At 43.9% G+C, this 13018-nt stretch overlaps 1 protein-coding gene across 23 annotated transcripts in view; it reads left to right on the top strand.

Annotated features, from left to right (window-relative positions):
• MAP7D2 (MAP7 domain containing 2) overlaps nt 1-13018 on the top strand; it is a 110195-nt gene that overhangs the window by 38088 nt on the left and 59089 nt on the right. The window lies entirely within an intron of this gene.

The following is a 13018-nucleotide window of genomic DNA, read 5'->3' as shown; positions in this document are numbered from 1 at the left end:
GTGGTCAGGTAATGAGATTAAGGAATACTCATGCTTTCTGGATACTCAGGACATATCTCATTTCAGGGCCATATCTAAACCAGTAATAATGATGATAATACTGTTAGCTAATATTTATTAGGCATTTAATATGTTCTAAGAGCTTTGCATATATTGTTCCTTAAGCTCCACATTACTCTGTAACACAGGTGCTGTTTAACAGCTGAGAAAAGTGAGGCTGAGAAGCTTCCCCAGAAGTCACACTTAGTGTGTGCTGAGCAGGGATTTAACTGAGCTGGGCAGAGCCCACTCCTCTTTCTTAGCATCATCCTTCGTGCTTCCCAGTAGGAATAGCTACCATTTTCTAGATATCTAGGTCTCTCTGTCAGTGCTCCTTCCCTTTAGGCCCTCTCATTATTGAGAGTCAACCAGACTGGCCTCAAATTCATGCTTTGCTACTTAATAGCTGTGTGACTTTGGACAGATTTCTTAACCTCTCTGAGTCTCAATTTCCTCATCTATAAAATGGGGGTGCCTCCCACCTCCTAGGAGTATTGTGAGCATTAAATAATATTTGTAGAGAATAATGCCTGGCCAGAAGTAGGTGCTTAGGAACTCATATTTTTAGAAAAAGACAATCTAGCCCACAAATACGTGTACAGTCCTCAAAACTAGGCACTGTTGAATTTTATAACTTGGCATGTTGTCTTTTGGTTCTGGGGAGCTTATTTACCAGATTGAGTTACTGGCGCAGGAGTTCCTGGGGTGGCTGAGTACATGTGTATGAATATAGAATAACATCATCATATACCACCTTCATAATTAGTGTTTGTGAGATGTCATCTCTACGTACTTTTTAAATAAGAAATTACTTATTTTGCTGAAGACAGGATCTCTCATTTCTACCATAAAGGGCGTGTGTCTACATGTGTAGACAAAAACAAGCAAACAAACAGTGATTGGTAACTGATATACTCTTTGCAGAAGATGAGAAATGAAGAGGACATATACATGTTTCTAGTATAATTTTTGTTGGAAAAGAATCCTTGCCCTAGTTTTACACTGGCAGTGTTGTAATGTACTCTATCTTATCACCCCCATTAGGAAAGGTAGCCTGATTGAGGTTTCCAGGTGTGTGTGCAGAGGCCCTCCATAGTGGAAGGTGGAGAACAATAAATAGGAGCATGTGCATTAGAATAGCCAACGCAGAATAGCTGGATTTGTTGAGCTCCTATTGTGTGCTGGATACAGTTAAGCAGTGCCTATATCTCATTTAATTCTCACTCTATGATAGGTTCTACTCTTATCTCCATTTTATAGAAGAGGAAGCTTAGAGCAGGTCCTGCGGAACTTTCCTGTTTTTTTTGTTGTTGTCGTTGTTGTTTTTTTAGACAGAGTCTTATTCTGATGCCCAGGGTGGAGTGCAATGGTGCAACTTTGGCTCACGGCAACCTCCACCTCCCAGGTTCAAGCAATTCTCGTGCCTCAGCCTCTCGAGTAGCTGGTACTATGTTTATGCCACCACACCTGGCTAATTTTTATATTTTTAGTAGAGACGGGGTTTTGCCATGTTAGCCAGGCTGGTCTCAAACTCCTGACCTCAGGTGATCTGCCCACCTCGGCCTCCCAAAGTGCTGGGATTACAGGCGTGAGTCACTGTGCGCGGCTAGAACTCCTGTTGTACCTTCTTCTGATAACCGTGTGTAGAGGATTTTGTGGCAGAATGGTGATGATTACATGCCAAGTTTTGGAGTCGGGGGTCAGGGGAGGGATCCATTCTCATTATTATTATTTGACCTTGATGTCAAAGTACTATGCACTTTGTATTGTTTGGGCTTCGCCCAATTCTACATTTGGTGGGGAAAATGGCCCTTCTCTTAGCTGTGCAATTGTGATTTAAGAAAATCATTTAGGAATCATTTGAATTGTTTAGTAATAATCTTACATGTCTGCATTTTTCTGGAAAATGTAATTCAGTTAGCTGTTTTAAAAGGAAACCTATGGGAATTTAGTGGGCATATTTTATAAAAATCTATTAACGGCGTAGATTTGTATATAGTCTTAAAGTAGTTCCCTATTTCTCCACTTCTTTCTTTTCAAGGACTTTTTGGCATCTGTATACAATTTTTTTTTTTTTTTGAGACTAAGTTTTGCTCTTGTTGCCCAGGCTAGAGTGCAGTGGCGTGATCTTGGCTCACTGCAACCTCCACCTCCTGGGTTCAAGAGATTCTCCTGCCTCAGCCTCCCAAGTAGCTGGGATTACGGTGCACGCCACCACGCCTAATTTTTGTATTTTTAGTAGAGACGGGGTTTTGTCATGTTGGCCGGGCTGGTCTCGAACTCCTGACCTCAAGTGATCCACCCGCCTCAGCCTCCCAAAGTGCTGGGATTACAGGCATGAGCCACTGCGCCCGGCCTGTATACATTTTTTAATTGTCTATACCTTTTGGATGTCTATACCTTCATCCTAGTAGTCAGTAGTTATTGAACTTAATTCCTAGTTCTAGACTTGCCTCATTCAAAAGTATGAATCATGACATCTTTGAAAGGGGCACGTTGCAAGGAATGAATTGGGTGATAATAGTGACTTATTATCACCATTTAAGAGAAAATTTAAGCCAGTTCAGAAAATTATAGCAGGTAGGAAATGGATTAGATCATTCATTGTCAGAGCGTGGTCCCTAGACTAGCAGCATCAGCATCATCTGGGAATTTATTAGAAATACAAATTCTCAGGCCCCACCCCAGACCTACTAACTCAGAAATTCTAGGGGTAGAGCCCAGCAATCAGTTTTTAATAAGCCCTCTAATGGATTCTGATGCACACGAAAGCTTGAGAATCATTGGATTAGAACCCTCCCCCACCCAAAAAAATGCTCGGAAGAGTTATTAAGCTATTGCAAGAAATGGCATCTTCCTGAGAGACAAATTTAAGTTGAAACCACCTGGTTCTGCTCTTGTCAGAGATAGAAAATGGAATAAATGGCCACTGATAGGTCTTTGTAACCATATGATTCCCCTGAGGTTAGTTCCTGCCTAGGTATTTGTTTCCAAAATAAGTATCCCAAATAAATACCAGAACTTCATGTAATAGTCGAAGAAATAGAATTCAGTAGTCAAAAGGGATTAAAAGCAATTTGTACATTTACTGGAGACTAGAAAAGTGTCAAAAGATGAATTCCTAATATGCAGCTTTTTGCCTCGTCCTCTGGCTCCCAGTATTATTTGTGCACACACACACTGACACACCCACACACTGTACCTTCCAAGAGTCACACAAAACCCTTCCCTCACTCAATTCCTAGTCAGAACTCTCCCCAGAAACAGTCCAACATGGCTCATGGCTTCCTAGTCCCTCATCTCTCTTTCACTTCCTTCTCTCTTTTATTCCCCCCATCCCCCACCCCCATGCAGCATATTTTTCCCCTTTCCAGTGTCGATTAATGAAAACTGATTCATTTCTCACAGTCCTGGAAATCTACCCACATACATTCTCCATCTGTGTAATGAAAGCCCAATAACTGATTCATATTGGATGGGTAGAATGGAAAAAGCCAAGAACATAAAGACAGAGTTCTCTTTCTGGTGGAGAGAGAGATGGAGCAGTCTCATCTCTGGTTGAATGGGGCCTCAGAGCTGTTCCACCTGAAATTTCATGATTTGGGATTTTGAAAGTGCCAATCATACATTAAATTGACTTTTTAGGGTTTTCTTTTTTTGCACATTGTATGCTGGTATGATTAAACCTTCATTTTAACACTGTTTTTGTTTGTTTGTTTGTTTGTTTTGAGATGGAGTCTCATTCTGTCACCCAGGCTAGAGTGCAGTGGCACGATCTTGGCTCACTGTAACCTCCACCTCCCAGGTTCAAGTGATTCTCCTGCCTCAGCCTCCTGAGTAGCAGGGACTACAGGCACACACCACCACACCCAGCTAATTTTTTGTATTTTTTTGTAGTGACGGGGTTTCACCATGTTGGCCAGGCTTGTCTTGAACTCCTGACCTCAGGTGATTCACCTGTCTCAGCCTCCCAAAGTGCCGGGATTACAGGAGTAAACCACCGCGCCTGGCCTCATTTTAACACTGTTAAGGGTTGTTTTGTTGATGTTCTCAGAGTGCCTTTAATGGTTATGAATTTCATTTTGAAGAAAAATTAGGTTGCTACACAATTTCGCTGTTGGTTTTCATCAAAAGTCCATTGTATTAAAGCACTCATCCTGAGTTATGGAGAGAATTGAGATTTAGCCCTACACTGAAAGAAATTTAAATGGGAAGTTTAGTGACCTTATGGGATTGTAATTGGTTTTGAGGTTTTAAATGAAAAATATGAGGCGGGAGTATGTGATGCTTTCCGAACAAAAACAATATACCCTCATGCAATAATGAAAAAGGTTCTAGATTCTGTCAGTTGATTTTCAGTTTCCACTTGCAAGATTGAAAAGTTCAATTGGATTTCAGGCTTTATTATTTTCTAGCATATTTTTGCATAAATCATTACCCTTGCCTGGAATTTCCAACTCCTGCCTTTCACTGATCTGAATCTGACCCCACCTCCTCTCTCCCAGGAGAGCAGCAGAGTCCAGAAGAAATCACACTGGATTAAAAGTCAGAGAGATAATTAGACTCCTCCCACTTAATAGGACATTGGATGGGTGGGTCACTTGATGTTTTAAAGTCTCCATTTCTTTCTTTTTTTTTTTTTTTTGAGACGGAGTTTCACTCTCGTTGCCCAGGCTGGAGTGCAATGGCGCAGTCATGGCTCACCGCAGCCTCCGCCTCCCAGATTCAAGTGATTCTCCTGCCTCAGCCTCCCAAGTAGCTGGGATTACAGGCATGTGCCACCATGCCCGGCTAATTTTTCTATTTTTAGTAGATGGGGTTTCTCCATGTTGGTCAGGTTGGTCTCGAACTCCAGACCTCAGGTGATCCGCCCGCCTCGGCCTCTCAAAGTGCTGGGATTACAGGCGTGAGCCACCGCGCCCGGCCGGTGGGTTATTTTCTAGATTAAAGAAATGGGCCGGGTGCAGTGGCTCACGCCTGTAATCCCAGCACTTTAGGAGGCTGAGGCAGGCGGATCACGAGGTCAGGAGATCGAGACTATCCTGGCTAACACGGTGAAACCCCATCTCTACTAAAACAAAAAATTAGCCAGGCGTGGTGGCGGGCATCTGTAGTCCCAGCTACTCAGGAGGCTGAGGCAGGAGAATGGTGTGAACCTGGGAGGTGGAGCTTGCAGTAAGCCAAGATTGTGCCACTGCACTCCAGCCTGGGTGACAGAGCGAGACTCCATCTCAAAAAAAAAAAAAAAGAAAAGAAAAGAACCCCTCTAAAAATAATGGCCAGCAACATTTAATGAGCATTTATTATACGGGAAGTTCTTCCCACACATTTCATGTAACCATCACAGCAGCTGTTTATCACAACACATTTATCATTTATTGGCAGTTTTTTTCATCCCCTTTTAAAAATAAACACTCATTTTTCTTCCAACTTGCTAACATTTATTTTTGCTCCCCAGTTTTACAAAGTATAATTAATAACAAAGCTGTTGGGATTGTGTGACAAAGATACTTTATAGAAATATATATGATTTTTACATACTCACATGTACCACATAGGTTTGCCTTTGGAACCAGATATATCATCTAGATATTTGGGATGAAAAGGAAAAACAGGCAACCTAGAAGATTTGGGAGAAGGCCGCAGATAAGATCAACTAGGCTCTGGATTTTAAGCCTTGTTGTGGAACACTCCCTGATGTGGTTTTTGGTATTTTGCTTTTTTTGGGGTGGGGGGGAGCACTACAAATTCTTTTATTGCAATATAATTTACTAATAATAACATTAATCATTTTGAAGTGTAATCTGGTGGCATTTTGTACATTCGCAATGTTGTGAAACTGTCACCACTGCCTAAAATACCATCACATTTTCATCACTCCCAAAAGAAATCTTGAACCCATTAGTAGTGTTTCACAATGTCTCCCATCCCCTTCATTCCTTTTTTATGGCTGAACATTATTTCATTGTATGGATGTATAACGCCATATTATATTTATCCAGTGTGATGGTTAATTTTTAGTGTCAACTTGACTGGATTGGGGAATACCTAGAGAGCTGGTAAAGCATTATTTTTGTGTGTGTCTGTGAGAGTGTTTTCAGAGGAAATTGGTGTGTGAGTCTGAGTGGACTAGGTGGGGGAAGATCCACCCTCAACGTGGGTGGGATCCTCCAATCCCCTGGAGGCCAAGACAGAACAAAAACTGAGGTGCTCAGTATATGTTACTGCTTCCCCTTCATGAACTTGACATTTCTTGAGTGCTTACTGTGCACAAAACACTGTGCTAGGCCCTTTGGGGGCTACAAGAAGAAATGGAACATAGCCCTGCCCTTAAGAAGCTTGTATCCTGATGGATGGACTGGAAAGGGAGGGTTGGCGAGAGAGGGCATCGGGAGGGTAGAGTTTCCTGTGCCTGAGGGTGGTGAATGAGAGAGGGAAGGACCCGAATGTGAAGTAAAGAGGAAAAAGGTCTGTGAGAATCAGAGCACTGATGGAATTCAATGGAAAGATTAATCTGTGTGTGTGTTGGGGGTGGGGCTATGGGGAGCAGCTCATGGAGTGCCTTCCTTTCTTTACCCTTGTATTCCTCCCACAACTCTAGCAGAAAAATGGGTACAAAGATGCCTTAAAATGTTGGTTGTTTTTATAGACACTTCTGGTATGAGGTTAAAATATTCTGCAAATTGGGAGGTTTCCATCAATGGGACATAATATTCGTGGCCCTTTGATTCAGCAACTTTTTGAGTCCCTCCCAGTCTTTAGGGTGCCAGAGATTCAGAGATAAGACAAGAGTTTAGAGGACAAGGGTCAAATGAAAAGACCCAAAGCCTGGCAGGGTGGTGCACACCTGTAATCACAGCGACTGGAGAGGCTGAGGCAGGAGGATTGCTTGAGGCCAGGAGTTAAAGATCAACCAGGGGCAGCATAGTAAGACCCAGTCCCCCTGCCCCTGCCTTCCACCTCCACGGAAAACAAAACAAAACAAAACAAAACAAACAGACCTAGACAGTAGCATGTAGGACAGTAACAACCTTGGCAAAGGTAAACACTGTGGAGGAATGTGGCAGGTGATCAGTCATTCCTTCTGCAGACTGTTTTGGGGCTCACTCTGCTGAGCTCTGTCATACAGAGAGTAGCCACAGGGAGGGCCCTGCCCTGTAGAATCACCATAATCTAGAACACTGGTTCTCAAGGTGTGGGCCCTGGACCAGTAGTGTCAGCCTCACCTGGAAGCTTGTTAGAAAGGCAGATTCTCTGGCTCACCCCAGACTTACTCCATCAGAAGTTCTGGAGGTGATGTCCAGCAGTCATTTTCACAAGCCCTCCAGGTGGTTCTGATGCATGCTCAAGTGTGGTGAGCAGTGGGCTAGGACAGTTGTCAGGTCTGGATGCACATTAGAATCACACGCGGGGCTTTTAAAGCAACAGTGCCTAAACCACACCTAAGACTGACTAGATCAGAATCTGAAGGGAGACCCAGGCATCTATATTTTTGAAAGCTCTCCAGGTGATTCCATTGTATAGCCAAAGTTGAGAAGCGGTGGTCTCCACATGCTTAAACAGATCATCACAGTGCAACCAAGAGTGACCATTAAGGTGGGAAACAGTGCCTGTGAGTCCACAGAGCAGAGGATGCCTGGCAACCCCTTGAAGGGATCAGGATGGCTCCCCAGAGGAGGTGAGGACCCTTCATTGTATTTCCTATTGGATGAGCTCTTCATTCCTCCTTCCCTTTTTTTCTGGACATTGCAGTTGCACAAATCTGAGTGTGATCGGAAAGGTTATTTTAAAATTCATTTAATGTGATTAATTTTTCAAAGTTGAACACAGCTGGCTTCCCTTTAAAACTTTGTATTTTGATAGTGGTTCTTACCATGAATAATTGACTAATATCAGGTCATTAATATTCTATAGGAGAGTACTTCAAGCTAATAAAATTCATTTTAAAATTAGTTTTTAAAAATGTGTTCCTGCAGCCCAGGGATAGTAGGATCTCAGTCAAGTATGAGATTTTATGCTTTTCTGTTAACATAAGATAGTTGTTTGACTGCTCAGTATCCCTGTTTTATTCCAATTTTTTTGTAGGAATTAATTGCCCAGGAAAAGACCTCTGTTTCAGAGTTGCAAGTTTGCCTGGATGCTGTTGCCCTGGGAAACATTATTGCATCAACAGTGGGGAAGGGGTGGCTCTGACATGGGTGCTCTTTGTCCTTCTCCTGGGTAGGGCATCTCTGAGAGGGTATCCCCTTTAGGTCCTTCCCAGGGCTTCACATTTGGGCCAGATTTTTTTAAAAAATAATTAAACTTTTGTATTTTGAGGTCATTGTCAATCCACACGCAGCTATAAGAAATATTATAGGCTGGGTGCAGTGGCTAATGCCTGTAATCCCAACATTTTGGGAGGCTGAGGCAGGAGGACCACTTGAGGCCAGGAGTTCAAGATCAGCCTGGGCAACATAGTGAGACTGCATCTCTACAAATAAATAAATAAATAAATAAATAAATAAATAAATAAATAAGAAAAAAATTGCCGAGGCCAGGCGCGGTGGCTCATGCCTTTAATCCCAGCACTTTGGGAGGCCGAGGTGGGCAGATTACGAGGTCAGGAGTTTGAGACTAGCTTGACCAACATGGTGAAACCCCGTCTCTACTAAAAATACAAAAGTTAACCAGGCGTGGTGGCGCATGCCTATAATCCCAGCTCCTCAGGAGGCTGAGGCAGGACAATCGCTTGAGCCCGGGAGGCGGAGGTTGCAGTGAGCCAAGATCGCACCACTGCACTCCAGCCTGGGCAACAGAGCGAGACTCCGTCTCAAAAAGAAAAAAGAGAAAGAAAAGAAAAAGCCAAGCATGGTGACACATGCCTGTAGTCCCAGCTACATGGGAGGCTGAGGTGAGAGGATTGCTTGGGCCCAGGAGTTCGAGGCTGCAGTGAGCTGATTGTGCCACTGCACTCCAGCCTGGGTGACAGAGTGAAACCCTGTCTCAAAAAAAAAAAAAAAAAAATTACAGAGAGAGCCCATGTACCCTTTACCTGGTTTCCCCCAGTGGTAGTATCCTACAAAACTATAGAACAGTATCACAACTAAAATGTTACCACTGATACAATCAAGACAGAGTACATTTCATGATGCCTTTTATAGACATCCACTTCCCTCCCACCCCTACCCTCTCAACCCCTGGCAAGCATGTAGGCATGGATCTGTTCTCCATAAGTTCTTATGGAGTTCAAAGGTAAAACTGGGTCCCTGGTTTTAAAAAAAGAAAGAGATGGCCATAGACTGTGGCTCATGCCTGTAATCTCAGCACTTTAGGAGGCTGAGGCAGGAAGATTGCTTTAGCCTAGGAGTTCCAACATCAGCCTGGGCAACATAGGGAGACCTTGTCTCTACTGAAAAATAAAAAAATTAGCCAGGCATGGTGGCACATACCTGTGGTTCCAGCTACGTGGGAGGCTGAGGTGGGAGGATCACTTAAGCCCAAGAGTTGGAGGCTGCAGTGAGCAATGATCGTGCCACTGTACTCCAGTTTGGGCAACCAACAGAGTGATATCCTGTCTCAAAAAGATAAAAAAAAGATGATAAATGCACACAAATAGGGCACATGGACAAAGGATGATTGGGTAGGAAAGTTAGACATTTTAGGATTTCAGGCCATACATAAAGACTTTCTTTTGGAACTGAATTCAGCACTGTATTAGTCTATTTTCACACTGCTGATAAAGACATATCCAAGACTGGGAAGAAAAGGAGGTTTAATTGGACTTAGAGTTCCAAATGGCTGGGGAGGCCTCAGAATCATGGAGGGAGGCGAAAGGCATTTCTTACATGGCAGCGGCAAGAGAAAATGAGGAAGATGCAAACGCAGAAATAAAATCATCAGATCTCGTGAGACTTATTCACTACCATGAGAACAGTATGGGGAATACTGCCCCCATGATTGAAATTATCTCCCACCAGTTCCCTCCCACAACACCTGGGAATTATGGGAGTACAATTCAAGATGAGATTTGGGTGGGGACACAGAGCCAAACCATATCAAGCATTACTTCTTGGATACACTGTGTCTTTAGAGGGCATCTCCTGGTGTTAGTGTTCACAGTAATCTACCTCAATTCCTCTGGTTTAAATCTGGCTGTGTTTTGGTAATAACTGGTTTATTTGTTAGAGGCCATGGTTTGTGCTCCAGCCCTCCTTACCTCGGAATGAGCTCAAGGGCTTTTTGACAGCCTTTGGGAGAAACATGTAGAGTCAGAAGGTGGAAGCTGGAGATGAGTTAATTTGGCTTCTCTTGGAATGGATATTCTCAAAATGTTTGCTCAACAATTAAGCAGAAGAAGCAGATGCTGTGTGGAAGAAGCTTTACTCATCCAGTAAATCTCAATCCCGACTGAACTCAGACTTCCTTATCCACATGTGCCCCAGAGCAGCTAGACGTGCAGAGAGAGAATCACAGGAGGGAGCTGCCAGGCTTCTCACTGCAGGGTGGTAACCGCCAGCCACATGTGGCTATTAAGCGCCTAAAGTGTGCCCAGTGTGACTAAAGAACTGAACTGTAACTGTACTTAATTTTGATATGAAATTTAAATAGCCATGTATAGCTCATGGCTACCAAATGAACACAGAGATTCCACATTGCCCATGTTGGGCTGTTTGAGTCACTCCACCCCTTTCAGTGGGATAAAACTGAATTTAAAAAAGAAAGAGACGGCCATGCATTGTGGCATGAGCAAGGAGAGGCCTTACAGCTTCCCCCAGGGTCCTCTGTAACCCCTTCCCCACCCAGCATCAGCCCTAAAACATTGCTGAGCAAACATTTTCAAACCACTAGTGTGAGGAGGAAGCTGCTAATTAGCCTGCCTGGACAGGAGCCACATCTGTGTCCAGCTGGGCCAGCGCTTGGCTCACAGTACTGCTTACTTCATACTGCTCTAATGAGTCACACTTGACTTCTCTTTAGATTTGCAAGCTCATTCTTGGGGCCAGGTTAAGATTTGTTCCCTGCATGCATCACTTCGTTACAGCACTAAGACTAAGGTGTTACATTTCTTCCCGTGCCAGGGAAGCAGCACAGAAAAGCGGTAACTGAGAATGTGGGTCCTTTCCGCCAGATGTGAGAGATTAGGAAAAAAAAATTTAATGGTTTTTAAAGTGGGTCCTGAAGCCAGTTTCTTGCATTGGAATCTGGCTTCAAGTGCCTCTGTTTCTACACCTGTAAGACAAGGATCATCACAGCACCTCTGTCATCATAGGGTGGTTGGGCTGAGAAAGTCTGAGCAGTGCACTTTGTCCTTGGGAACTGCTCAGTTATTACCTCTTATTATGATGATGCTGGTGATGATGACTGTGAGCATGATAATAAAGATTTTCTGGAAAGATGATTTGAAGGTGTGACTCTCATGTGTGTCCATGAGAGGGCAGCCTAAAATCATGCATGTCTGTGGAACAAGCAGCCTCTGTAAAGCCTCAAGGTAATGTGGGCAGTTTCAAGTGTGTTTGGCCCTTTTTCTTCTCTGTTTTTCTTTTTTCCCTCTGTTTGAAGAGCGCTTTCAGCCATTTTCAGGCTTACTTTAGATACGGAGCAGGCCCATGAACACCTAGAGGGCAGCATGGGCAGTACAGAGCTAGGTTCAGGCCCTGCCTGGGTGGGTGAGTTTGTGTAGGTGCCAATGAGAGCGTCTGTCTAGGCGTCCTAGGCTTTTCTTTGTAACTTTTCACACAGAACTAATTCTTATTAATCAGACTCTTGAGGTAGACACTAGAACCTGACTGTGTTTAGAGAAAAAAGAAACTTGATTTTCTATGCTTGTTCCCCTTCCACTAACTTCACACCTGCCTCTGAGCATTGTGTGCATGCATTGGTGCCACCATGTAAGGGGACAGTGGCCGGAGCTGTATAGACCCAGAGTTGCATCAGCCACACATGGCTCTGGAACACACCAGGGGAGACTGAGTTACAGAGAGAGCAGAATAAGAGTCCTCAAACCATGTGGGAGCACAGAGCATCATAGGGCTGGGGGACAGTGGGGGTCTTGAAGATGGGCAGGGTTTAAACAGATGGAGCAGGGTAGAATAAAGGATGGCATGAGCTAGAAGGTGCATGGGAGAAAGGGCAGTGCTGAGGTAAAGTTGGGAAAAGAGTTTGGAGTCAGATTGCGGGGTGGCTGGAATGAGCTGAGGAGTTGGCCTTTAAATTTTTGATGACGTTCATATTGTTGATAGTGTCATAATGATTAAGAGATGACCAAAAACAAAATGAAGAATGGCACTTGGATTTTTCTAGTACTTATCTCATTTTAATATCCCTGATATTTAATCTAGGCTGCAAAACCAGATGTATGTGGGGAATCATGACAATCCAGTGTTTGTCACGCCATCCCCCTTCCTCATTCCCACTGCCTACACTGTGGGCCAGGCCTTCAGGCCTCCCTCCTGGACAGCAGCAGGAACCTCCTTAGAAGAAGCACAGGTTGCTGTGGCAGCAAGGCACACTATGATGCCAACTTGTGATGCTCCCAGAGAGGAAGGCACAGATGCTGGGGAAGTGAACCTGGTTATATTAACATGAAAGCTGACTTCTAAAGAATGGTGTGCTTCTTTGGGAGGCCGAGGCGGGTGGATCATGAGGTCAGGAGATCGAGACCATCCTGGCTAACAAGGTGAAACCCCGTCTCTACTAAAAATACAAAAAATTAGCCGGGCGCGGTGGCGGGCGCCTGTAGTCCCAGCTACTCGGGAGGCTGAGGCAGGAGAATGGCGTGAACCCGGGAAGCGGAGCTTGCAGTGAGCCGAGATTGCACCACTGCAGTCCGCAGTCCGGCCTGGGCGACAGAGCGAGACTCCGTCTCAAAAAAAAAAAAAAAAGAATGGTGTGCTTAAATATTATATACATAATATACTGGGTCCAGTTGTAACAGAGTGCAGTAAATTATTTGTAATCCTAAAATGATCATGAAGATCCATTTAATCTTTTGTTTAGA

The sequence above is a fragment of the Homo sapiens genome, chromosome X (assembly GCF_000001405.40).
Source record: "Homo sapiens chromosome X, GRCh38.p14 Primary Assembly".
Classification (NCBI taxonomy): domain Eukaryota; kingdom Metazoa; phylum Chordata; class Mammalia; order Primates; family Hominidae; genus Homo; species Homo sapiens.
This window is presented reverse-complemented; position numbering and strand designations above follow the sequence as displayed.